The sequence below is a fragment of the Homo sapiens genome, chromosome 4, assembly GCF_000001405.40.
Source record: "Homo sapiens chromosome 4, GRCh38.p14 Primary Assembly".
Taxonomy (NCBI): Eukaryota; Metazoa; Chordata; class Mammalia; order Primates; family Hominidae; genus Homo; species Homo sapiens.
The window spans coordinates 117,845,892-117,870,996 of NC_000004.12; the positions used below are offsets into that span (position 1 = coordinate 117,845,892).

The window sequence follows — 25,105 nt, forward strand, 5'->3', positions numbered from 1 at the left end:
TTTAAGTGAAAAGAAGAGTTACACGTCTCTCACATTAAATTAAAAGCTGGAAATGATTAAATTTAGTGAGGAAGGTATTTTGAAAGCTGAGATAGGCCAAAAGATAGGCCTCTTGTGCCAAATAGTTAGCCAAGTTGTGATGCAAAGGAAAAGTTCTTGAAGAAAATTAGAAGTGCTACTCCAGTGAAAACATGAATGATAAGAAAACGAAACAGCCTTATTGTTAATATGGAGAAAATGTGAGTGGCCTGGACAGAAGATTAAACCAACCACAACATTCCCTTAAAGCCAAAGCCTAATCCAAAACAAGGACCTAACTTCAATTCTATGAAGGCTAGGAGAGGTGAGAAAGCTTCAGAAGAAAAGTTGGAAGCCAGCACAGGTTAGTTAATGAGATTTAGGGAAAGAATCTCCATAATATGAAAGTGCAAGATGAAGCAAGTGCTGATGGAGAAGCTGAAGCAAGTTATCCAAAAAATCTAGGTAAGATTATTGAAGAAGGTGGTTGCACTAAACAATAGATGTTCAGTATAGGTAAAACAGGCTTGTAAGGAAGAAGATCCCATCTAGGACTTTCTTAACTAGAGAAGAGATGCCAATGACTGGCTGAAAAACATCAAAGGACAGACTAACTCTCTTGTTACGGGCTAATGCAGCTGGTGACTTTAATTGAAGCCAGTGCTCATTTACCATTTAGAAAACCCGGGAGCCCTTATGCATGATATTAAATCTATCTTTGCCTGTGCTTTGTAAAACATGGTTTACTGAGGATGTTAAGCCTACAGTTGAGACCTACTGCTCAGAAAATAAAAGATTATTTCAAAACATTACTGTTCACCGACAATGCACCTTGTTACCCAGGAGCTCTGATGGAGATGTACAAGGGTTTAATGTTGTTTTCATACCTGCTAACACAACATCCATTCTGCAGCCCATGATCTAGGAACAATTTCAATTTTCGAGTCTTAGTTTTTAACAAATATATTTCATAAGGCAATAACCAGCATACATAGTGATTCCTCTGATGGATCTTGGCAAAGTAACTTTAAAAAGCTATCTGGAAAGGATTCACCATCCTAGATGTTTAAGAACATTCATTAAGAACATTCATAATTCATGGGAAAAAGTCAAAGTATCAATATTAACAGGGATTTGGAAGAAGTTAAAGCCAACTCTTATGAATGACTTTGAGAGGTTCAAGACTTCAGTGGAGAAAGTCACTGCAGATGTGGTGGAAATAGCAAGAGAACTGGAATGAGAAGTGAAGCCTGAAGATGTGACTGAATTGCTGCAATCTCATGATAGAAGTTGAACAGATGAGGAATTGCTTCTTATGGAGGAGGGAAAAAAAGTGGTTTCTTTTTTTGGAAACTACTGTTGAAGATGCTGTGAACATTGTTGAAATGACAACAAAGCATTTAGGATATTCCATAAACTTTATTGACAAAGCAGCAGCTGTGTTTGAAAGGATTAATTCCAAATATTAAAGAAGTTCTATTGAAGACAAAATGCTTTCAAACAGCATTGCATGCTACAGAGAAATCTTTCATTAAAGGAAGAATCAATTGATGCAGCAAACTTCACTGTTGTCTTATTCTAAGAAATTGCCACACCTTGAACTTCAGCAACCACCACCCTGACAGCAGCCATCAACAGGTAGGCAAGACCTCCTACCAATGAAAAGATTAAAGCTTTCTGAAGGCTCAGACGAGTGTTAGCAATTTTTAGGAATAAAGTATTTTTAAAATTAAGTTATATACATTTGTTAGCCATAATACCATAGCACACTTAATAGAATATAGCATAGTATAAACATAATTTTTATATGCATGGGAAATCAAAAATTTTGTCTGATTTGCTTTATTGCAATATTTGCTGTACTGCTATGGTCTGAAACTGAACCTGCAATATCTCTGAGGTATGCTTGTACTAAAACTAGATGTACACATACCGCTAAAAGTTGTTACACACGGAAGTGTAATTTAATCATAAACTCCACTAAGGTTATTATAGTACTTATGCTTTAGGAAGCTGTGATCAGTAGAATTCTAGGAAGGTCCCATGATCCCCACTCCCTAGCATTAAGCACTGTATAATCTGAGTCTGGGTGGGACTTGTGATTCGCTTCTAGCCAAACAAATATGGCAGAGCTGATAAGATGCCACTCCCAAGATTATGTTTTATTATGTAAGACTTCATCTTAGCCAACTGAAGATAAAGGCTCTCCTGCTTGACATGAGGAAGCAAACACCCGTGCATGAACTGCCAAATGAGAGTCCACATGGATATGGCAAGTAACTGATTTTTCTTTAGGATTTGAGGACAGCTTCCAGCCAACACGCTGCAAAAGACCAGTGCCCTCAGTCATACAGTGCAGGAAAATGAATTCTGCTCACAACTTGAATGTGCTTGAAAGCAGATTCTCCCTGATCAAGCCTGTAAATAAGAACACACCACAGCTGAAAGGTTGATTGCAGATCCTGAAACAGAGAACCCAGTGAAGCCATGCCTGCACCGACTCCTGATGTACAGAAACCATGAGATAATGAAGATATATTGTGTTAAGCTGCTGCCAAATTTTGGGTAATGTGTTATGTAGCAATGGAGAACTAACATAGGTGTGTATTTTAAAACCAAATATTCTATGCTCTCACTTATAAATGGGAGCTAAGATGTGAGGACACAAAGGCATAAGAATGACATAATGGACTCTGAGGACTTGGGAAGGGTGGGACGGGGTGAGGCATAAAAAACTACACATTGGGTTCAGTGTATGCTACTCAGGTGAGGGGTGCACCAAAATCTCAGAAATCACTGCTAAAGTACTCATCCATGTAACCAAACACCACATGTTGTAGTTCTTTAAATGTTTGGTAGTTTTAAGCAGCGAAACCATTGGTTCCCAGGGTTTTATTTTCTGGGAGAATTTTCATTATGGCTTCAATCTTGTTACTTCTTATTGGCCTGTGTAAGTTTTGGATTTATTCGTGTTTCAATCTTTGTAGGTGGTATGTGTCTAGAAATGTATCCATTTCTTCAGGATGGTTGACTAAAGACATTTTGTACTAGCTACCTCCTCTAAAAAGAACTAAAATAGCAAGTAGATAATCACACTTTGAAGATGTCATCCAAGAGAAAACACTGGAGTTCAAAAGGAAATGAATAGGCAATACCTAAGCAAGGAAAGAAAAAGAATCAAGGCAGTCTGCTCAACCTCGTTCAGCTGGGAGCCAAGAGAGACTCCCCAACACAAGGAAAGGGTAAATGAAAGATTCTCAGTTGTCCACATTTTCACCATAGACTTCTGCAATTCTAGCCACAAGAGAGCCCTCTACCCTCACAGATTCTGAAACTAATAGAGGGTGTGGCTGGGAGATTTTATTATGTCATTGCCCCAGGAAGGATGCTCACACTGGGTGTCTGATATTTCTTGAGACCTAAGCTGCTACAGCAAAGTGCCATTTTATAACTCCATTTCCAACAGATGGTGCACTGTCCTGGAGCCCCACAATGCTGCCGCTGAGATGCAAGAGAAGCACAGGCTGCTGCTCCTGGGGCTTATGAAAAAGTGACCCCAGGTTATCCTACGCAGGGCAGAGACACACCTGAAACACGGACTGCTGTTTTTAGAACTGAGGTGTCAGTGAGACACAATTCTAAAGCCCTTTCCCCCAACAGACTATGCACTGTCTTGAATTCCAGCAATGCTGTGACTGAGGTGCAAGAGAAGAGCTGACTATTAACTCCAGGGCTTAGGCATGACAGACTGTGACTGCCACACCCTCAGATGAGGTATAAGTGGTATGCATACTTCTCACCTACCAGCCTACACTTCTGTCACTGAAGTGGGCACTGCCCCAGGGAAGGGCACTGCACAGCTGCTATTTCCATCAACCTGAGAATTTCACTGATGGCCTAGGGATTACCTGACTTCTTCCTACCACAGCCAGCAGCTACACACACCATCACATGCCTGAAGACAAGCCAACAAAGCCCAACTTTGCCCCTCTCCCCACTTATGCCAGTGTGCACAGTCCAGAAGCCAGGTGATTGCCCAGCCAAGTCAATCATTGTTGGCATCTGAACACTCCTCCTGAGAAACTGAGGTTGGGCCTATCCACTCAGCCACTACTACCACAACAGTCATCTACCTGCACATGCTACCTGCAGGCCTGGAGACTGGCTGCCCAAAACCCACTGTAGCCACTGCCAACAGCAGCACTGCTCAGAACCAAAAGGGTCATCCTGCCACTGCCACTGTGATCACCCACACCACACCATCTGAACAGGGGCCCAATAACCCACCAAACTGCAAAGGTTATGGCTGCCATTACCAAGCATCAGAGTAAGCCACTTGGAGATTCAAGAATCAACCAACTTGGGTACGATAACACTAGTGTCAGTGTAAACCACCCTGAGCCCAAAAGACAGCTCACTGCTGCAACTACTGAAACCTGAACTCTGGCCTACCTAGCATCCTAATTCCCACAAAACTTCACCACAGCCTCCACTAATAACTGCACTCTAAGCCACTGAGGAAATCTCAGATACCACTGACAATTTTTACAGCCAAAGAAATTGTACAGAGACTACATTACTGCACATAACAAAAATCAAAGGCAAAGTGACCCACCCAACCAACATCACAGATAGATCTTTAGGAAAAAGTCCTCTCCTATGAAAGCAAACTCAAAATGTTGAAAGAAGTGACTGATGTACCAGATGCAATAGAAGTCAGAAAAACAATTCAGGATGTGATGAGAAATTTAACAAAGAGATAGATATCATAAAATAAAAACAAAAAAATTCTGGAACTGAAGAATTCACTGAAGGAAATGTGAAATGCATTCAAAAGTTTCAACAATAGACTGGATAAAGCAGAGAAAGAATCTCAAAACCTGAAGACAAATCTTTTGAAATAATCCAGTTAGCCAACAATAAGGAGGACAGGCATGGTGGCTCATGCCTATAATCCTAGCACTGTGGGAGGCTGAAGAGAAAGGATTGCTTGAGCTCAGGAGTTGGAGGATAGCCTGGGAAAAATAGTAAGACTCTGTCTCTACAAAAAAAAAAAAAATTAAGTTATACAGACATGGTGGCACATGACTGTAGTCCCAGCTACTCAGAAGGCTGAGGCAGGAGGATCACTGGAGCCCAGAAGTTCAAGGCTACAGTGAGCAATGATCATGCCACTACACTTCTGCCTGGGTGACAGAGTGAGTTTCTGTATCAGCAAAAATAATAATAATAATAATAAATAAATGAGAAAAAAAGAATAAATAAAACTTTTGTGATATATGGAACATCATGAAGTGACCAAATGTATGAATTATCAGTATCTCAGAAGGAAAAGAGAGCACAAAATAATTATAAAACCTATTTAATAATAGATGAAACTTCCCAAGTCTGGCAAGAGATTAAGACACCCAGATACAGAAGGGGCAACAGTCCCCAAACAGATATAATGTAAAAGGCCTCCACTTCACATTACAGTCAAAATATTTAAAGTTAATAAGAAAGAAAGAACTGTAAAAACAGAAAGAGAAAAATATCATCTATAAAGGAACCTCCATCAGACTAACAGTAGATTTCTCAGCAGAAACCTTACAGGACAGGAGAAAATGGAATGACATATTTACTGTGCTGAAAGAAGAAAAAAAAACTGCTGATCAATTATACTACATCCAGCAAAGTTACCTTTCATAAGTGAAAGATAAAGTCTTTTCCAGACAAACAAATGCTCAGAAAATTCATCATCACTAGACCAGTCCTAAAAGAAATGCACAAGAGAGGCTTAAATCTGGAAGCTAAAGGATAACATTTGCCAACATAAAAACACACACAAGTATAAAACTCAATAGTAAAGGAAACACACAAATGAGAAAGAGAAAGAGACATAAATGACACAACTACAGGTCATTACCAATACAAAATGACAAATAATAAGAGAAAAAAACAAAAAAAAATATACAAAACAACCAAAATTAATTAACAGTATGACTGGGAGAAAACCTCACATATTAATAATTACCTTAAATGTAAATGGATTATATTCTCCACTTAAAAGATATACTGGCTGAATGGATAAGAAAACATAATCCAACTAATCCCACTATATGGTGCCTATAAGAAATGCACTTTCTCTGTAAATACACATATAAACTCAAAGTAAAAGGATGAAAAAAGGTATTTTATGTGAAAGAAAAGCAAAGTGAGCAAGAGAAGCTATACTTATATGGAACAAACTTTAAGCCAAAAATAGAAAAAAAATTTAAAAAAAATAAGGAAGGTCATTATAAAATGATGAAGTGATAAATCCAGCAAAATAAAATAGCAATTCTAAATATATATGCAACAAACCCTGGAGCACTCAGATGCATAAGAAAATATTACTAGATCTAAAAAGAGAGATAGACTCCAATACCCTCATTCTATGCATTAGATAGAACATTTAGATACAAAATCAAAAAAACATTGGATTAAAACTGGACTTTGGACCAAATGGACCTAATAGACATTTACAAAACATTTTATCCTACTGCAGAATACACATCATTCTCATCAGCACATATAACATTATTCAAGATAGATAATATGTCAGGCCACACAACAAGTCTATGTTTATTTTTTAAATAATTTTTTTAAAAAGTATTTTTTAAAAATAGAAATCATATTAAATATCTTCTCAGATCACAATGCAATAAAACTAGAAATCAATACTAACAGGAACACTGGAAACTATACAACTACACAGAAATTAAACATGATCCTGAATGACAATTGGGTCATGAGGAATTTAAAACGGAAATCAAAAAAATTCCTGAAACAAGTGAAAATAGAAATACAATATACCAACACCTGTGGGATACAGTAAAAGCTGTAATATAAGAAATTTATAGCAATAAACACCTACATCCAAAGAATGGAGAGAGGTAAAATAAACAATCTAACATTGCCACTCAAAGAACTAAAAAAGCAAGAACATACCAAACCAAAAATTAGCAGAATAAAAAAATAATAAAAATCAGATTAAAATTATACAAAAATAAGGAATAAAAAATCAATGAAACACAAAGTTGGTTATTTAAGCGATAAACAAACTTTATAAGCCACCAGCTAGACTAACCAAGGAAATAAGAGAGAAGACAAAGAGATCAAAAATGAGACATTAATACTACAGAAATACAACAGCTCATCAGAGACAATTATGAACAACTAAATGCTAACAAATTAGAAAACCTAGAGGAAATACATAAATTCCTGGATGCATACAACCTACCAAGATTGAATCAGGAATAAATAGAAAACTTGAACAGACCAATAATTAGTAGTATTGAAATAGTAATTTAAAAATCTCCCAACAAAGAAAAGCCCGGGACCAGATAGATTCACTGCCTTTTCTAATATACATATAAACACCAATCATCCCCAAACTATTCCAAAATATTAAAGAGGAGGGAACTCTTCCTAATTAATTCCATGAAGCCAATATTACCTTCATACCAAAACCAGAGAAGGACACAGCAACAACAACAACAAAAACTACAGGCCAATATCCCTGATAAACATAGATGCAAAAATCCTCAACAGTATACTAGCAAACCAAATTCAACAACACATCAAAAAGATAATACATCACAATCAAGTGAGATTTATGTGAGGAATGCAACAATAGTTTAACATACACATATCAATAAATGTGGCATGGCACATCAGCAGAATGAAAGAAAAAAACCATATGATTATCTCAATAGGCACAGCAAAAGCATTTGATAAACTTCCATATCTTTCATGATAACAACTCTCAACAAACTAGGCATAGAAATAACAGACCTCGAAATAATAAAGGTTATGTATGACAAACCCACAGTCAACTTTAAACTAAATAAGGAAAAGTTGAAACCATTTACCCTAATTACTGGAACAAGACAAGGATGCCCATTTTAAACATCCCCATTCAATATAGTACTAAAAGTCTTAGCTAAAACAATTAGGCAAGAAAAAGAAAAAAACCATGCAGACTGGAACAAAGGAAGTCAAATCATCTCTATTTGCAACAAATTTAATAAAGCTGCAGAACACTTACAATCAATATACAATAATTAGTAGCATTTCTATACACAATCATAAAACAGACAAAAAAATCAGCAAGGCAATCCCACTTACAATAGGTAAGAAAAAATAACGTAGGAATAAATTTAACCAAGGTGAAAGATCTCTATAAGGAAAACTACAAAATACTCATGAAAAACACTGAAGAGGACACAAACAAATGGAAAGCTATCCCATGCTCATGAATCAGAAGAATTAATATTATTAAAATGATCATACTGCTTCAAGCAGTATACAGCTACAATGCAATTTTATCAAAATAGCAATGTCATTTTCCCCAAAATATAAAAAATAATCCTATAATTCATATGGAACAAAAAAGGAGCCCAAAGAGCCAGAACAATCCTAAGCAAAAAGAACAAAGCTGAAGGTATCACACTACTTGACTTCAAAATATATTACAAAGTGATAGCAACCAAAACAGCATGGTATTAGTATAATAATGGACACAGAATATAGAACCAATGAAACAGAATATAGAACCCAGAAATAAAATCACATATTTACAGCCAACTGATTTTTGACAAAGGCACCAAGAATATATACTAGGGAAAATACACCTTTTTAACTAAATTGTCCTGGGAAAGTTGTATTGCAATATGCAGAAGAATGAAATTGGACTCCTATCGTCAACATACAAAAATCAACTCTAGATACATTAAAGACTCAAATGTAAGACCCGAATCTGTAAAAATTCTAGAAGAAATTATAATGAAAACACTTCAGGACATTGGTCTATGCAAAAAAAAATTTACAGCTAAGACCTCAAAAGCATAGCAAACTACAACATAAATAGACAAAGAAGACTATATTAACTAAAGAACTTCTCTATAGCAAGAAAAAAAAACATTAACAGTGACGTACTAATCTGTTGAATGGAACAAAATGTTTGCAAATTATTCAACCAGCAAAGGACTAATATCTAGAATATGCAGGGAACTCAAACAACAGCAAACAATTTTTAAGTGGACAAAGGACATGAATAGACATTTCTTAAAAGAAGACATACAAATAGCCAACAAGTATATGAACAAATGCTCAACATACTAATCATCAGGGAAACACAAATCAAAACCACAATGAAGTATTATCTTACCTCAGTCAGAATGCCTATTATTAAAAAGCCAAAAAAATATATAACATACTGGTGCTGATGTGGAGAAAACTCTTATAAACTGTTGGTGGGAATCTAAGTTAGTACAACCACTATGGAAAACGGTATGGAGATTTATCAAAGAACTAAAATTACAACTACCATAGCTCCAGCAATCACACTACTGGTTATCTATTCAAAGGAAAACAAATCGATACATCAAAGGGATTCCTGCACTGGCATGTTTATTGCAACACTATTCACAATAGCAAAGACATGGAATCAACCTAAATGTCCATCAGTGGATGAATGGATAAAGAAAATGTGGTACATATACATAATGGAATACTATTCAGCCATTTAAAAAATAATGAAATCATGTTATTTGCAGCAACATGAATGAAACTAGGGTTATTATGTTAAGTGAAATAATCAAGTCATAGAAAGAAAACTATCACATATTCTCACTCATTTTTATGAGTTTAAAAAAGTTGATTTCACAAAAATAGAGAGTTGAATGATAGATACCATATGCTGGGAAGTGTGGTTGGATGGGATGAAGACAGGTAGGTTAACACATACAAACAAACAGTTAAATGAAAGGTAAAAGTTCTATCATTCAACAGCAAAGTGAGTGACTATAGCTAATAACAATGTATTGTATATTTTAAACTAGCTAGAAGAGAGAACTTGAATTTTTCTTAACACATAGAGATGAGAAATAACTCAAAATGATGTACACCTCAAATACCCTGACTTCATAATTACATATTTTATGCACGTAACAAAACAACATGTACTTTATAAATATGTAAAATATTATGAATTTATAATAAAACAAAAACACATGGCTCCCACTAGAACAGTTACAAAAGCAAAATAAAATTCAAAAATTATCTGTTTAAAGGTATTAGAGAGCTGCAAAAGCTTTGAGGATGACAGGAGTGTAGGTATCAGAAGGCAGAAAAACAAAAAAGTGAGTTGACACACTACAACCCTGATTCCTCTGGTGCCATTTACTGATTCTGCGCACACATAAGAGGATATCTACATAGTAAAAGTAACTCTTAACACAATATTGTAAAATCAATTCTAGATTGTTTAATATGAATTATGGAAAGTAAAAGGGAAAGCTTTTAGAAGAAAACATAGGAGACAAAATTCATGACTTTGGGTTAGGCAAAAATTTATTAATTAAATAAGGTACAAAACATACTAAGCATAAAGAATAAATTATAAGAAAAACTACATTAAAATTAAGTATTATTATTAACTATACCATGCCACTGAAACAGTAAAGAAATCCTCTCAGTCCATAAGCAATAGAATCAAACCTGTAGATGAACGGGCAAAAGACTTTAACAGACATTTGACAAAAGAGGATATACGAATGAACCGTGAAATATGAAAATGTGCTCCATTTCATGACATCGGGGAAATGGAAATTAAAACCAAAAGTCAATGTCACCAAAATGGCTAAAATTAAAAAGTAAACAAAACTAAGTGTGGAAGGCAGAATTCTAAGATCCATGAGTTCAGCATCTTTGTATCTATGGACTTTGTGTAATCCCCAACCTTAAAGTATGGGCAGCATCTGTAAATTGGTTCCAATACAATATGACAAAAGTGAATGGATTGTGCGTAGATAATTAAGGTCTCTAATCTGTTTACTTTAAGTTAATAGAAAAGATTATTCTGATTTCTTTGAGCAGTGTTTTGTAATTCTCATTGCAAATATCTTTTACCTCCCTAGTTAGTTGTGTTCCCAGGTATTTTCTTCCTTTTGTGGCAATTGTGAATGGGATTGCCTTTCTGATTTGGCTCTTGATTTGACTGTTGTTGGTGTATAGGAATGATAGTGATTTTTGTATATTGGCTTTGTATCTTTCAACTTTGCCGAAGTTGTTTATCAGCTCGAGGAGCTCTTGGGCCGAGACTGTAGGGTTTTCTAGATAAGAATCCTGTCTGCAAATAGAGATAGCTTGACTTCCTCTCTTCCTGTTTGGATATCCTTTATTTCTTTCTCTTGCCTGATTGCTCTGGCTAGGACTGCCAATACTATATTGAACAGAAATGGTGAGAGAGGGCATCCTTGTCTTGTGTTGGTTTTCAAGGGGGAATGCTTCCAGCTTTTGCCCATTCAGTATAATGCTGGCTGTGGGTCTGTCATAGATGGCTCTTATTATTGTGAGTCATGTTCCTTCAATACCTGTTTTATTGAGAGTTTTTAACATGAAGGGTGTTGAATTTTATCAAAAGCCTTTTCTGTGTTTATTGGCATAATCATGTGGTTTTTGTCTTTAATTCTATTTATGTGACAAATCACATTTATTGATTTGCATGTATTGAACCAACCTTGCATCCCAAGGATGAAGACTACTTGATGATGGTGGATTAGCTTTTTGATGTGCTGCTGGATTCAGTTTGCCAATATTTTGTTGAGGATTTTTCATTGATGTTCATCAAAGATAATGGCCTGAACTTTTCTTTTTTGGTTGTGTCTCTGTCAGATTTTGGTATCAAGTAGATGTTGGCCTCATAGAATGAGTTGGGGAGGAGTCTCTCCTCCTCAATTTTTTGGAATAGTTTCTGTAGGAATGCTACCATCCCTTCTCTGTACATCTTGTATAATTTGGCTCTGAATCCATTAGGTCCCCAGCTTTTTTTGGTTGGTAGGCTATTTATTACTGATTCAATTTTGGAGCTTGTTATTGCTCTGTTCAGAGAATCAATTTCTTCCTTGCTCAGTCTCAGGAGGGTGTATGTGTCCAGGAATTTAACCTTATCTTCTAGGTTTTCTAGTTTATGTGTGTAGAGGTGTTCAGAGTAGTTTCTGATCATTGTTTTTATTTCTGTGCGGTTGGTAGTAACATTGCTTTAGTCATTTCTAATTGTGTTTATTTGGATCTTCTCTCTTTTCTTCTTTATTAATCTAGCTACTGGCCTATCTATTGTATTATTTTTTTCAAAAAACCAAGTCCTGGTTTTGTTGATCTTTTGAATGGTTTTTCATGTCTCTATATCCTTTAATTCTGCTAGCTTTGGGGTGGATTTGTTCATGCTTCTCTAATTCTTTCAGCTGTGAAGTTAGGTTGTTAATTTAAGATCTTCCTAACATGTGATATGGGCATTTAGTGCTATAAATTTCCCTCTTAACAGAGAAGACACAAACAAATGGAAAAACATCCCAAGCTCACGGATAGGAAGAATCAGTATGACTAAAATGACTACACTTCCCAAAGTAATTATAGATTCAATGCTATTCCTACCAAACGACAAATGACATCCTTCAAAGAACTAGGAAAAACTGTTTTAAAATTCACATAGAACATAAAAGAGCCCAAATAGCTGAGGCAATCCTAAGCAAAAAGAGAAAAGCTGAAGGCATCTTGTTACCTGACTTCAAACTATACTACAAGGCTACTGTAACCAAAACCGCAAGGTACTGGTAAAAAACAGGCACATAGACCAATGGAAAGGAATAGACAGCCCAGAAATAAGGCCACACATCTACGATCTGATTTTTGACAAAGCTGACAAAAACAAGCGATGGTAAAAGACTCCCTGTTCAATAAATGGTGCTGAGATAACTGGCTAGCCATATGTGGAAGACTGAAACTGAACCCCTTCCTTTTACCATGTACAAAAATCAACTCAAGATGGATTTTAAAGACATAAATGTAAAACCCAAAACTATAAAAATCCTGGAAGATAACCTAGGCACTACCATCCTGGACATAGAAACAGGCAAAGATTTTATGACAAAGACACCAAAATTAATCACAACAAAAACAAAAATTGACGAATGGGATCTAATTAAACTTAAGAGCTTCTGCATAGCAAAAGAAACATCAACAGTGTAAACAGACAACTTACAGAATGGGAGAAAATATTTGCAAACTATGAGTCCAACAAAGGTCTAATATCCAGCATCTATAAGGAACTTAAACAAATTTACAAGAGAAAAATAACCCCATTAAAATGTGATCAAAGGACATGAACAGATACTTCTCAAAAGAAGACATACATGCGGCCAACAAGCATATGAAAAAAAGCTCTATATCACTGATCATTAGGAAATGCAAATCAAAACCACAATGAGACACCATCTCACGCCAGTCAGAATGGATATTAATAAAAAGCCAAAAAAATAACAGATGCCAGCAAGGTTGTGGAGAAAAGGGAACACTTATACATTATTAGTGGGAGTGTGAATTAGTTGAATCATTATGGAAAGCAGTATGGTGATTCTTCAAAGAGCTAAAAGCAGAACTACCATTTGACCCAGCAATCCCACTACTGGGTAAATACCCAGAGGAATATAAATCATTCTACCGTAAAGGTACATGCATGTGAATGTTCATTGCGGCACCATTCACAACAGCAAAGACATAGAATCACCTAAATGCCCATCAATGACAGATTAGATAAGGAAAAAGTGGTATATATACATCATGGGATACTATGCAGCCATAAAAAATGAGATTGTGTATTTTGTGGGAATGTGGATGGAGCTATTATCCTTAGCAAACTAATGCGGAACAGAAATCCAGATAACAACTGTTCTCACTTATAAATGGGAGCTAAATGATAAGAGCTTATGAACACAAAGGAAACAGCAGACACTGGGGTCCACTTGATCAGGGAGGGTGGGAGGAGGGATGGGAGCAGAAAAGATAACTGTGGGTACCGAGCTTAATACCCGGGCCATGAAATAATCTGTATAACAAATCCTAAAACACAGGTTCCCTATGCAACAAACCTTCACATGCACCCCCAAACCTAATTTTTTTTTTTTTTTGAGATGGAGTTTCACTCTTGTCATCCAGGCTGGAGTGCGATGGCATGTTCTTAGCTCACCGCAACCTCCACCTCTCAGGTTCAAGTGATTCTCCTGCCTCAGCCTCCCGAGTAGCTGGGATTACAGGCGCGCGCCACAACGCCTGGGCAATTTTTTTTTTGTATTTTTAGTAGAGACAGAATTTCACCATGTTGATAATTCTGTACGGATATGACCTAATCAGGTGAGCCTTTTGAAAAAGGTCTAGAAGTAAGAGCAAAAACTGTCTCCATTGATAGTTTTGAAGAAGCAAGCTTTGTCAAGAATTAGACAATTACAAAGAAATTAGCTCTGCCAAAAATGTAAAGAGCTTGGAAAGGAATCCATTCCTAGTCAAGCCCCTGGATGAGAACACAGCCTGTCCAACACCTTAATTTCAGCCTGTGAGTCCCTAAAAAAAGAATATAATTAAGCCATTCTCTAACTTCTGACCTATAGAAACTGTAAAATAACAAACATATATTGTTTTAAACCACTAAATTTGCAGTAATGTGTTACACAACAACTGCAAATGAATACATCAAGTAATTTGAAAGATGTGGAGAAACTGGGTCTCTCATATCAGGGACTGGTAAACCGATACAACCATTTTGGAAAACGATTTGGCAGTAGCTATTAATGCCAAACATATACATGAATGCTTTGACTCCACAGCTTAATTCCTAAGTATACATAAAACTCAAACCCATGCATATCCTTACCACAAAACATATACAACAATGTTCCTAAGAGTTCTGTTCGCAAAGCCAGTACTGAGACCTACCAATTATCTCTAATCTGCATAGGAGATATATAAATGTGTTATAGTAATCTACAGGAATGCTTTATAGCAATAAAAATAAAAGAATTTTAACTACACATAACAATCAATGAACAAGATGGATCTCGTACATATAGCGTAAAATGAAAAACAGCTGACAGGAAAGATTACACACTTTATTATTTAACTTATGTAAAGCTAAAGGGAAATCAGTTTCTGACACTATAACCCCACAGTGATGACTCCTTATGGAAGCAGTGACTGGAAAATGCACGAAAGGGGCTTTTAAGGTTCTAAAAATGTGAGATATACTTTTTCTTAACCTGGATGATAGTTTACTTTTGAAAAATTTATGAATTTGTGCACTAATGACTTGTGCACAATATATGTATATTATTCTTCCATAAAAGCTTACTTAAACATTAGTGTAATGATTCTGTTTACTTCTGTGTATCTCATAAACAGATATGTCTGAATGTTTCATGAGGAATCTGTAGAGATATACCAGTTCCTGTGACTTTATTTGTAAGTAATTTTTCAGCTTCTGAAAGAGAACATGAAGATAAATTTGGGGGTGGCTGTCAAGATCTCTAAATAGTATACAGTTTTAATAACACCATCAAATTAAAAAGCAATCAAAAATTGTTTGTGCGGCTGGGCGCAGTGGCTCACACCTGTAATCCCAGCACTTTGGGAGGCCAAGGCGGGCAGATCACTTGAGGTCTGGAGTTTGAGGCCAGCCTGACCAACATGGCAAAACACCATCTCTACTAAAAATAAATTAGCCAGGCATGGTGGCGTGTGCCTGTGATCCCAGCTACTCGGGAGGCTGAGGCAGGAGAATCTGTTGAACCCAGGAGGCAGAGGTTGCAGTGAGTTAAGATTGTGCCACTGCACTCCAGCCTGAGCGACAGAGCAAGACTCCATCTCAAACAAAACAAAACAAAAAAAAAGTATGTGTGTGTGTGTATAAATTCCAAGTCAATAAGAAATAGATTTTCAAGAGAAAAAAAATAGAAAAATACTATAAAGGAGCAATTTATTAATGTAAATAAACTCAAAATATAATTTCTGAAATAAGTAAATACCATTTCTAATCTACCAGTTGCAAAGTTGGCTTAAATGAATATTAACCAGTGTTAATCAGACTGTGGGCAAACAGGTATGCTCCACCTTTACTGCTGGCAATGTAAATTATTCGACTTGTTTGAAGAATAGCTTGCATATTATTAACCTAGCAATTCAAATTCTGAAAATTTATAATATAATCAGAGCCATATTTTAAGAAGCATATAATATATGCATATTACTGACATCAATAGTTGAAAATACTAGAAAATATCATAGAGAACATATTACCTTCTCAGTAGCTGATACAAACTTTCCTTTGTAGGGAGAGAGTCAACTTTGTTGAAAAGATGCAACTGAAATGAAAGAGTAGAGACATTTTTGTCATGTGAATATTCATTTGACCACACACAAGTTATTGAAAATATTATTTTTAAGCTTAATATCCAGAATATGTGTACTCCATTTAAATACTGGTAGAGAATTTATAAGCTACTGATATGCGTTATACAGAAAAGAAAAACATTTTCCTGAAAATCTCTTGGAAAGTTAAGAAGAGTGGAGTTGAAACAAAACGATACAATAAAAATACTTTATTAATATCTTCAAGGAATTTTTCAGTTTCATTAATCTTGCTTTGTTTAGCATAAGTTAATAATTGACCTAGTTTTAAACAATAATATTAAAAGCTTTGAAATTTTAAGACCATCCTTTCTACCTACATCCCTACTCAGCAGGGAACAGAAAGTCTATGAAAATCTCTCCCATTGTTGTCACATTTGCAAATACATTTAAAAGCATTTTTACTATGCTGCAATAAAGCTGATATATGAGGGGGCCTTCAAAAAGTTCATGGAAAATGTGTATTATAAAAAAACAGGCTGGGTGCAGTGGCTCACACCTGTAATCCCAGCACTTTGGGAAGCCGTGGTGAGCAGATCACGAGGTCAGAAGATCGAGACCATCCTGGCTAACACGGTGAAACCCCATCTCTACTAAAAATACAAAAAATTAGCCAGGCATGGTGGCATGCTTCTGTATTCCCAGCTACTTGGAGGACTGAGGCAGGAGAATCGCTTGAACCCGGGAGGCGGAGGTTGCAGTGAGCTGAGATTGCGCCACTGCATTCCAGCCTGGGTGACGGAGAAAGACTGCATCTCAAAAAAAAAAAAACAAAAACAAAAACAAAAAAAAAACCCAGGGACCAGGCGCGGTGGCTCATGTCTGTAATCCCAGCACTTTGGGAAGCTGCGGCGGCCAGATCACCTGAGGTCGGGAGTTCCAGACCAGCCTGACAAACATAGAGAAACCCCGTCTCTACTAAAAATACAAAATTAGCTGGGCATGGTGGCGCATGCCCATAATCCCAGCTATTCTGGAGGCTGAGGCAGGAGAATCGCTTGAAGCCAGGAAGCAGAGGTTGTGGTGATCCAAGATCGTGCCATTGCACTCCAGCCTGGGCAAAAAGAGCAAAACTCCGTCTCAAAAAAACAAAAACAAAAACAAAAAAAAGTGCATAAATTTCAATTTTTTGCACCAAAATAACTTGTACAAGTTATTGTTATCACATTTCTGAACAGGATCTAGTTTGAAGCACTAAGAAGAAAAAGACATCAGTGTGAAAACAGCTTCTATCAGGGCAACAGGAATTCTGCTAAAATTGAAGCAAGAACAAACAGCATATTGATGATGAATCTTAAGTGAAAGAATGGTGAAATCCCTGATGCTTTACAAGAAGATTATTGGGACAATGCCCCCAAAGAAATCAGCAGTTTACAAATGAATAACTCATTTTTAGGAAGCGATGAGATAGTGTTGAAGAGGATGACTACAGCTACAGACCACCCACATCAATTTGTGAGGAAAAAAAATTAATTTTGGCTGTGCCCTAATTGAAAAGGACCAGTGTTAACAGCAGAAACAATAGCCATCACCATAGACATCTCAATTGGATCAGCTTACACAGTTCTGACTAAAAAAATTAAAGTTGCGTGAACTCCACTTGATGGATGCCAAAATCTTTGCACCCAGACCAGCTGCAGACAAGACCAGAGTTTTCAATGGAAATTTTAAAGAAGTGGACACCCAATAGTGGGATTGCTGGGTCAAATGGTAATTCTGTTTTTAGTTCTTTGAGATATCTCTAGACTGTTTTCCATAGAGGTTGAACTAATTTATATTCCCACCAATAGCACATAAGCATTCCCTTTTCTCTGCATCCACACCAACATGCGTTGTTTTTTGACTTTTAACAATAGCTGTTCTGAAGATGTAAGATGATATCTCAGTGAAGTTTTAATTTGCATTGCTCTGATGATTAGTGATGGTGAGCATTTTTTCATGTGTTTGTTGGCTACTTATATCTCTTCTTTTGAGATGCCTGTTCAATGCCTTGCCCAGTTTTTAATGGAGTTGTTTGTTTCTTGTTGAGTTGAGTTCCTTGTAGACTCTGGATATTGATCCTTCATCAGAAGGATAATTTGCAAATATTTTCTCCCATTATGCATGTTGTTTATTTACTCTGTTGATTATTTCTCTTGTTGTGAAGAAGCATTTTAGTTTAAATCCAATTTTCTATTTTTATATCAACTCAAAGGAAAACATTATATTATATTAAAAATACACATACATTTATATGTTTATCACAGCACTATTCGCAATAGCAAAGTCATGGAACCAACCTAAGTGTCGATCAACAGATAAGTGGATAAAGAAAATGTGGTATATAAACACCATGGAATACTATGCAGCCATTATAAAGAATGAAATCATGTTCTTTGCAGCAGTAAGGATAGAGCTGGACTCCATTATCCTAAGTAAACTAAGAAACAGAAAATCAAATGCCACATATCCTTACTTATAAGTGGGAGCTAAACAACGGATACACATGGATCCACTGGATCCATGGAAATAATAGAATAGTGTACCCATCAATATTTGGGTGATGGGTACACTAGAAGCCCAATCCCCGCTATAAAACAATATATACATGTAAAAAATACACACATGTACCCCGCTGAATTTAAATTTAAAAAAATAAACAAATGGGATCAAGATCCTGAAGTAGTTCTTTGAAGAATTGTAACAGTAGATGAAACATGGCTTTACCAATATGATCCTGAAGACAAAGCACAATCAAGGCGATGACTAACAAGAGATGGAAGTGGTGCAGTCAAAGCAAAAGCAGACCAGTCAAAAACAAAGGTCATGGCAATAGTTTTCTGTGATGCTCAAGGCATTTTGTTTGTTGACTTTATGGACGACCAAAGAACAGTAACATCTACTTGTTATAAGTGTTTGGAATTAGCCAAAGCTTTAGCAGAAAAATGCCCTAGAAAGCTTTGCTGGGAGTCCCTCTCCATCACCACAATGCACATGCTCATTTCTCTCATCAAACAAGGGCAATTTTGAGAGCGTTTTAAGGGGAAATCATTAGGCATTCACCTTACAGTCCTGAGTTGGCTCCTTCTGAGTTCTTTTTGTTTTCTAATATGAAAACAACTTTCAATGGGCCCTCATTTTTCTCTGTTAATAATGTAAAAAGGAGTCCATTGACATGTAGAATTCTCAGGACCCTCGGCTCTTTAGGAATGGAATAAATGACTGATATCATCACTACAAAAAGCATCTTGAACTTGATGGAGCTTATGTTGAGAAGTAAAGTTATATTTTTTTTATTTTTATCTTTTAATTTCAGTTTCCATGAACTTTTTGAAGTCCTCTTGTATTTAAACACACACACACACACAAACACAAACACACACATTGAGGCAGCTTCTGAAATATCTTTTAAAAAAACTGATATACGAAGATTCTCCCTAGATATAAAAGTAGAATATTTTCTGCATGTGTTAGAGGTTTTATGTTAGATATGGTATCATTAATTTAAATTTTCCAAGTTGTGTGTGAGTTGAAACTATAAAATAAAGTTTAAAAAACGCATTCTCCTTAGTATTTCCTTTAAGATATGTGTGTGAGGGAATAATATGTGAATCACTATCGCTAAGGAGTAATCATGTTGTGATGTACTGAAAAATCCAACTAATTATTCATAGCTCCAGTTTGTCAGAAAGTAACTTAAGAGGACTATTGTTAAATAGAACTGTTCAATCACTTATTGTCTTCACTGTAGAAGGCACGCTTGTACTGGCTGAGAAATAATTGAACAGATTGCCAGACACCGTAAGTGATGTCTTCAAAGGATGAACTCTAAGGATAAATTCTTTCACTCTTTCTCCTTCTAGGCCCCAGTTTCTTTATAAACCAAATATATGTATAAAGTACTTTCATCACTTATTTGCCAAAGATATTTTATTATTTATTCTATGAAATATTATTAAACACTCTGTTTATTATTAAACTGTATGTTGTAATGAAAAGGCATAGGCTCCCTTAGGATAAAATAATTTTCATGACAAACACAGTCAAGTTGAAAAAGAGAAATAGTCACTAAATCTATCTTATGCTAGTTTATAACTCTGACTAGAGACACAGTAAAGATAGACAAATGGTCACTAAATCTTGTTAACAAATTAATCACTCTCACCCAGTATGAATTGTCTTTCCTCCTAGGTTTTACCTTAACAGGATAGAGTGTTGGGTTCATAAATTTGATAAATCTTGTCCTGAAAGCAAATATCTGCCAAGATTTCAAGAAAATGTTATAAATGAAGTATATAAATAAGCAATACAAGTGTGCAAAAGTAGACAAAGATTAAAGATATGCATTTGTATTATGGATAATTTACACTAAAAATAGCTTGCTGGCCAAGTGAAAAAGAACACAAACATAACCCCACTGTTTTTTACTTTTTCTCAAGAAAGGTAATGAGCTACTAAATGTCACCAGAGTTCCACAGTGCCAATGTACTGAATTAATGAAAGCTGCTAGTTTGAAAGGGTAGTTATTTTACTAAGCAATTTGGAGAGCTCTATTTTTCATTCTCTTCCCTATTTTGAAATAAAACAAAATGAATTGATTGTTGTTCAGTACATTCTAGTTACAGCTTGTTATATTATTAATGACAGGAACACATTAAATCATTTCCTGATTGCATCAGAAGCTACAAAGAAAAGGATAGATTGAGCTCACGTTATTTTTCAAATATTGTAATGTTCTTGGCCCCTTGAGCCACATATTGATATTAAGATGTGATTTAAGCTTTCCTCTTTAGTTACAAAAAAAGAAGAAAACGGAAGAGTCTAGACTTTATTAAACTTCTCTACATTCAATCTCTTTCAAAACAGTTTGAAATTGAGCAACATTCTGTTTGTTAAAGATTTAGAACTCTTGAAACTTTTTTCATTAAGTCTAGCTTTCTCCCTTGAAAATAAATATAGATATTTCTTAAATTAAGAATCAAAATGTAATGCAGTCATGATTTGCTAAATATGACCATTTTTGTTGTTGGTGGTGGACAATGATCAATCACTAATCATTTACAAAACAGCATTAAATGCCAATGTTTCAATCCCTATATAAGGTATCATGAGAAAATATAAAGACAAAGATATAAAATATTAAAAATTTTTTAAATCTCAGAAGCTAGAAAGAAAAGAAATAGCAGATGTGTAGTTTGTATAAAGTATAACTCTTTTTATCTTTAGAAATAAATAATCTTCTACACAAAGCCAGCATTCTAAATTTTTTTTACTTCTTGGTATTTTAAATCTACTTTTATCTTTCAACTTTCCAAAGACATCTATTTTGTATGTGAATATTTATATTGGTGAATCTAGCTTCAATTATGAATACACTCAGGTAGCATTATGGAGATGCATAGAAGGATGAAACTTAAGCTTTCTCTCTTTCTCTTTTTCCCCTCTGTTCTGTTTTAGTTACTTTTTTACTTTATTAATGTATAAAAAAATTTAATTTTACTTAATCTGTCAGACAAGAGAGTAGCTTTGCACAAAAAGATCCTTTTCAGTAATTAAACTTAGTAGGAGTTTTAACCTGTATTACACGTCCCTGAGTTAAGGGATATTTTAAATGTCTACCGATATCTAAAGGGTTTTCCCAAGTGAAAAAAAAATGAGTGGGTATAAGCTAGAGAGGCAGTTTTATACAAAAAAATATGATTTTCTAATAAATTAAGCCTTTCAATAATGAAATAGACTATTTTGAAAAACTTCTCATTGTTGAGTTTATTAAGCAAAGGCACATTTGAAATATTTTAGCGAAAGAGTCAAGGACATCAGAGGTATCCTTAGGGAAAGGATAAGAGAGTTGAATGTCTTCTTTATCAAATCTAATTCTAATTCTAATTCTAATCTTAACAGATTTATAGAAAAGGCTCTTGAGTAGAATTTGGAATAAATAAAATAGTCAAGAAAATGTATCTTCTATAAAAGCTTATAACCAACTAAACAAATGAGCAAAAGGCAATAGAAAAGTAGAGCCACAGGATAAACACCCTACTATCCTTTGAAGAGATATGTAGTGAAGAGAAACTTGACATAAAGAATTTATTAAGAAGTAGCCAGTAAAAAATATGCATCCAGCAGGGACTCAAGATTAGATGAACGTACCAAAAAGAGATAAAATCCTTGCCCTTAAAGAAATGAACATGATCCTGAACAGGCACAGAAATGCCAGCATTGTTGCAGTTATGGTTGAGATTAACATGTGTTAGCCCAGAGGTTACATGTGCTATAACTCTTTCTTTAGAGTGAGTGCAATGGTCAGGGGTCAGTTTACTGACCTACCAACACATGCTATCAATAACTCAGAAAGAAAACAGATCAAAACCTCATCTGTGTTTTCTTATGTGCAATTGGTCATTATATCTACAACAGCTGGGAATTAGTTGTACTAACTGTGGCTGGAGTAAGCATGACAGTGACATCTTTCCTAGGACTAGTGTTAGTCTTCCCTCCTCCAAGACAGCCTTCTCCCCTCTACCTTTAGGAGTAAAACATGAACACTTTACATAGCCTGCCAAATAGGATCCTGTGTCTCTGAACACATCATTTGTCCTGTTTTTTTTGTCTCTCCTCTTGAGGTTCAACTCTTTGGAAGGATTTTTTAAAACATCTTACTAATGACATTAGGACTTAAAGAAGAGTAAACATGCTGCTGCATGCTGCATTTCACACCTGCATTATTGCATTTGCTAGGACCCCAAATTATAATAGTTATAACTACAAAACAAGAAAACCATTTCTATCCTATAGGGAGTTTATCAACATAGAATTTCAGGTCCTCTAAATGGTTTCTCATTAAATAGTAAATACAGCTAGCATGGTAAGTAGTAGGAAAACCTTACTGTCAGTATTTGAGAACAAAGCAAGGTTTTTTCACAACTATATGCAATATATTTAGTGTGAAAGGTTATCATAGAATATGGAAGAATATTATACTGACTGTTTTCCGCTTTTCAGAGTACCATCATCGACAGAAGCAAAAGTCCTTATCTGCTGAAATCTTTATTGACATACTTAAGTGGCGAAATAATATGTCAGGGTTTTACTTTAAAATACTTCAGGATCAAAAACAGAGGGAAAATAGAGAAAGGTAAATGAAACAAAAATTATTCACAGTGGTGATTGTTTAACCTGGGTAATGACAACCCATGAATTCATAGTACTATTCTCTCCACTCTGTATGTCTAAATGTTTCCATAATCAACAAATAAAAACAAAAAATAAACAAAATATTAATCTCTTTTTTTCTTTAATTCTCTCTCTTTTAGCTTACTCATTGGAATTCTAAGGACAGCTCCAGTTAACATGAAAGTAAAAATAAAAACCCAGAAAACCTTTTGGACAGATTACAACAAAGAAGAATTCTGATACCTCTTGTAGATTCATTTTCCACCCCAAAGATTAGGTAACAAAGGAGATGTGGGAGAGAAAGAAACAAAATGGGAGAGAAATTGAGATAAGAGAGGACCATGTGAAGGAGGTGAAGTATTTAAAGTGGAAAGGAGGAAAATAACCTGAACTCTTAACTGCTCTTGAAAGTTCACTCTGTCTTCACTCCAGCTCTATTGACTGATTACCTGTAGCCCACTTGCTATTCAACAGTCTTTATCAAAGACAGATCACTTGGATACTTTTGTATGAGTGGTGTCACAAAAAGACATCTTGAGCCACCAAATAAGGTGCAATATACAAACCAGAAGTCCCATTCAGCCCAGTATTTGTTCTCAAATGTCATAAATGCTGTGGACAAGAAACTTTGCACAACCAGAATGTTTTATTTCTTTCTTACATAACTGAAAAGTAATTTGCTTTGAGAAAACATTGAAGCTTAACTGCACATTTTAATGCAATGAGGAAAAGACACATTTTAAAGGAATAAGAAATTCAAGTGAGAGGCAATCATATTTCTCATTATATTCATTTTAAACAAGAGATTACTAAGTATTTTAAATTCCACAATTAGTATAATTACTAAAAGAAGTTGCACATGTTATATTTTGAGAGCTGAAGAATCCCAGATACCATCTTATCTTCAGCCTGGTTTTCAGGTAGAACCACTTGTAGATTTTGCCATGTTTTAATGTACTTATTTACCTTCTTTTACTAAAATGGGTGAAATGTGCATTTAATTAAAGACAATCACATTATAGGAATATACACTTATAAACAAGAGTAAAAAGCAAAACTTCAGTGCAAACCCAGAACTTGAATAAGTAACACAGCAAACTCATATTTTTATGGTTACTTAATTTCCTAATTTACAGGAGATGTGTTTTCATTTTAGCATACTTTGAAGGAAAAAAATCTGGATCAGGGAAAGTCAAGTATTTATTTTTGGACACATTGAACTATAACATATTATAATAATAATTGACATTCATTAAATATCTCCTATGTGTAAGATTTACTTACTTTACGTAGATCATGATGCAATCATTATAACAACTCTGTGAATAGATGCTATTATAAACAGATACTTGCAGATGGCTAAGACTTAAAGTGATTTATAAACTTCTAAAGTCACAATACTAATAAGTGGGAGAGTTAGAATTACCAGGTTGTATAACTTTAAAGACATTATTCTATAGCACCTATCAGCTGTCAGTATAATTGTTATAAACTTACAGCTACAGAACTGAACATACTTGCTTCCCTGGACCGATGAACAATTTAGTCAACCAATTCCTCATGAAGGGAAAATTTACACCTTCCTATCCCAGTCCTTCAGGAGAAAAAGATACTGTTTGAGGAATCAGCTAGGTGCAGAGTTAGTGACACTACGTAAGTGATTAGTATAGAGAAAGAT

The 25,105-nt window shown here is 35.2% G+C and overlaps 2 long non-coding RNA genes across 2 annotated transcripts in view; one reads left to right on the top strand and one right to left on the bottom strand.

Annotated features, from left to right (window-relative positions):
• The window catches only part of LOC102723914 (uncharacterized), a 52,393-nt gene extending 36,158 nt beyond the window's left edge, over positions 1-16,235 (bottom strand). Inside the window, exon 1 of the long non-coding RNA XR_427579.4 lies at positions 16,165-16,235. This is a non-coding gene — a long non-coding RNA (uncharacterized LOC102723914). The remainder of the gene's footprint in view (positions 1-16,164) is intronic.
• Positions 1-24,057, top strand: part of LINC02264 (long intergenic non-protein coding RNA 2264) — a 35,548-nt gene extending 11,491 nt beyond the window's left edge. Inside the window, exon 2 of the long non-coding RNA NR_147154.1 lies at positions 23,568-24,057. This is a non-coding gene — a long non-coding RNA (long intergenic non-protein coding RNA 2264). The remainder of the gene's footprint in view (positions 1-23,567) is intronic.
• Positions 24,058-25,105: the final 1,048 nt, after the last annotated feature.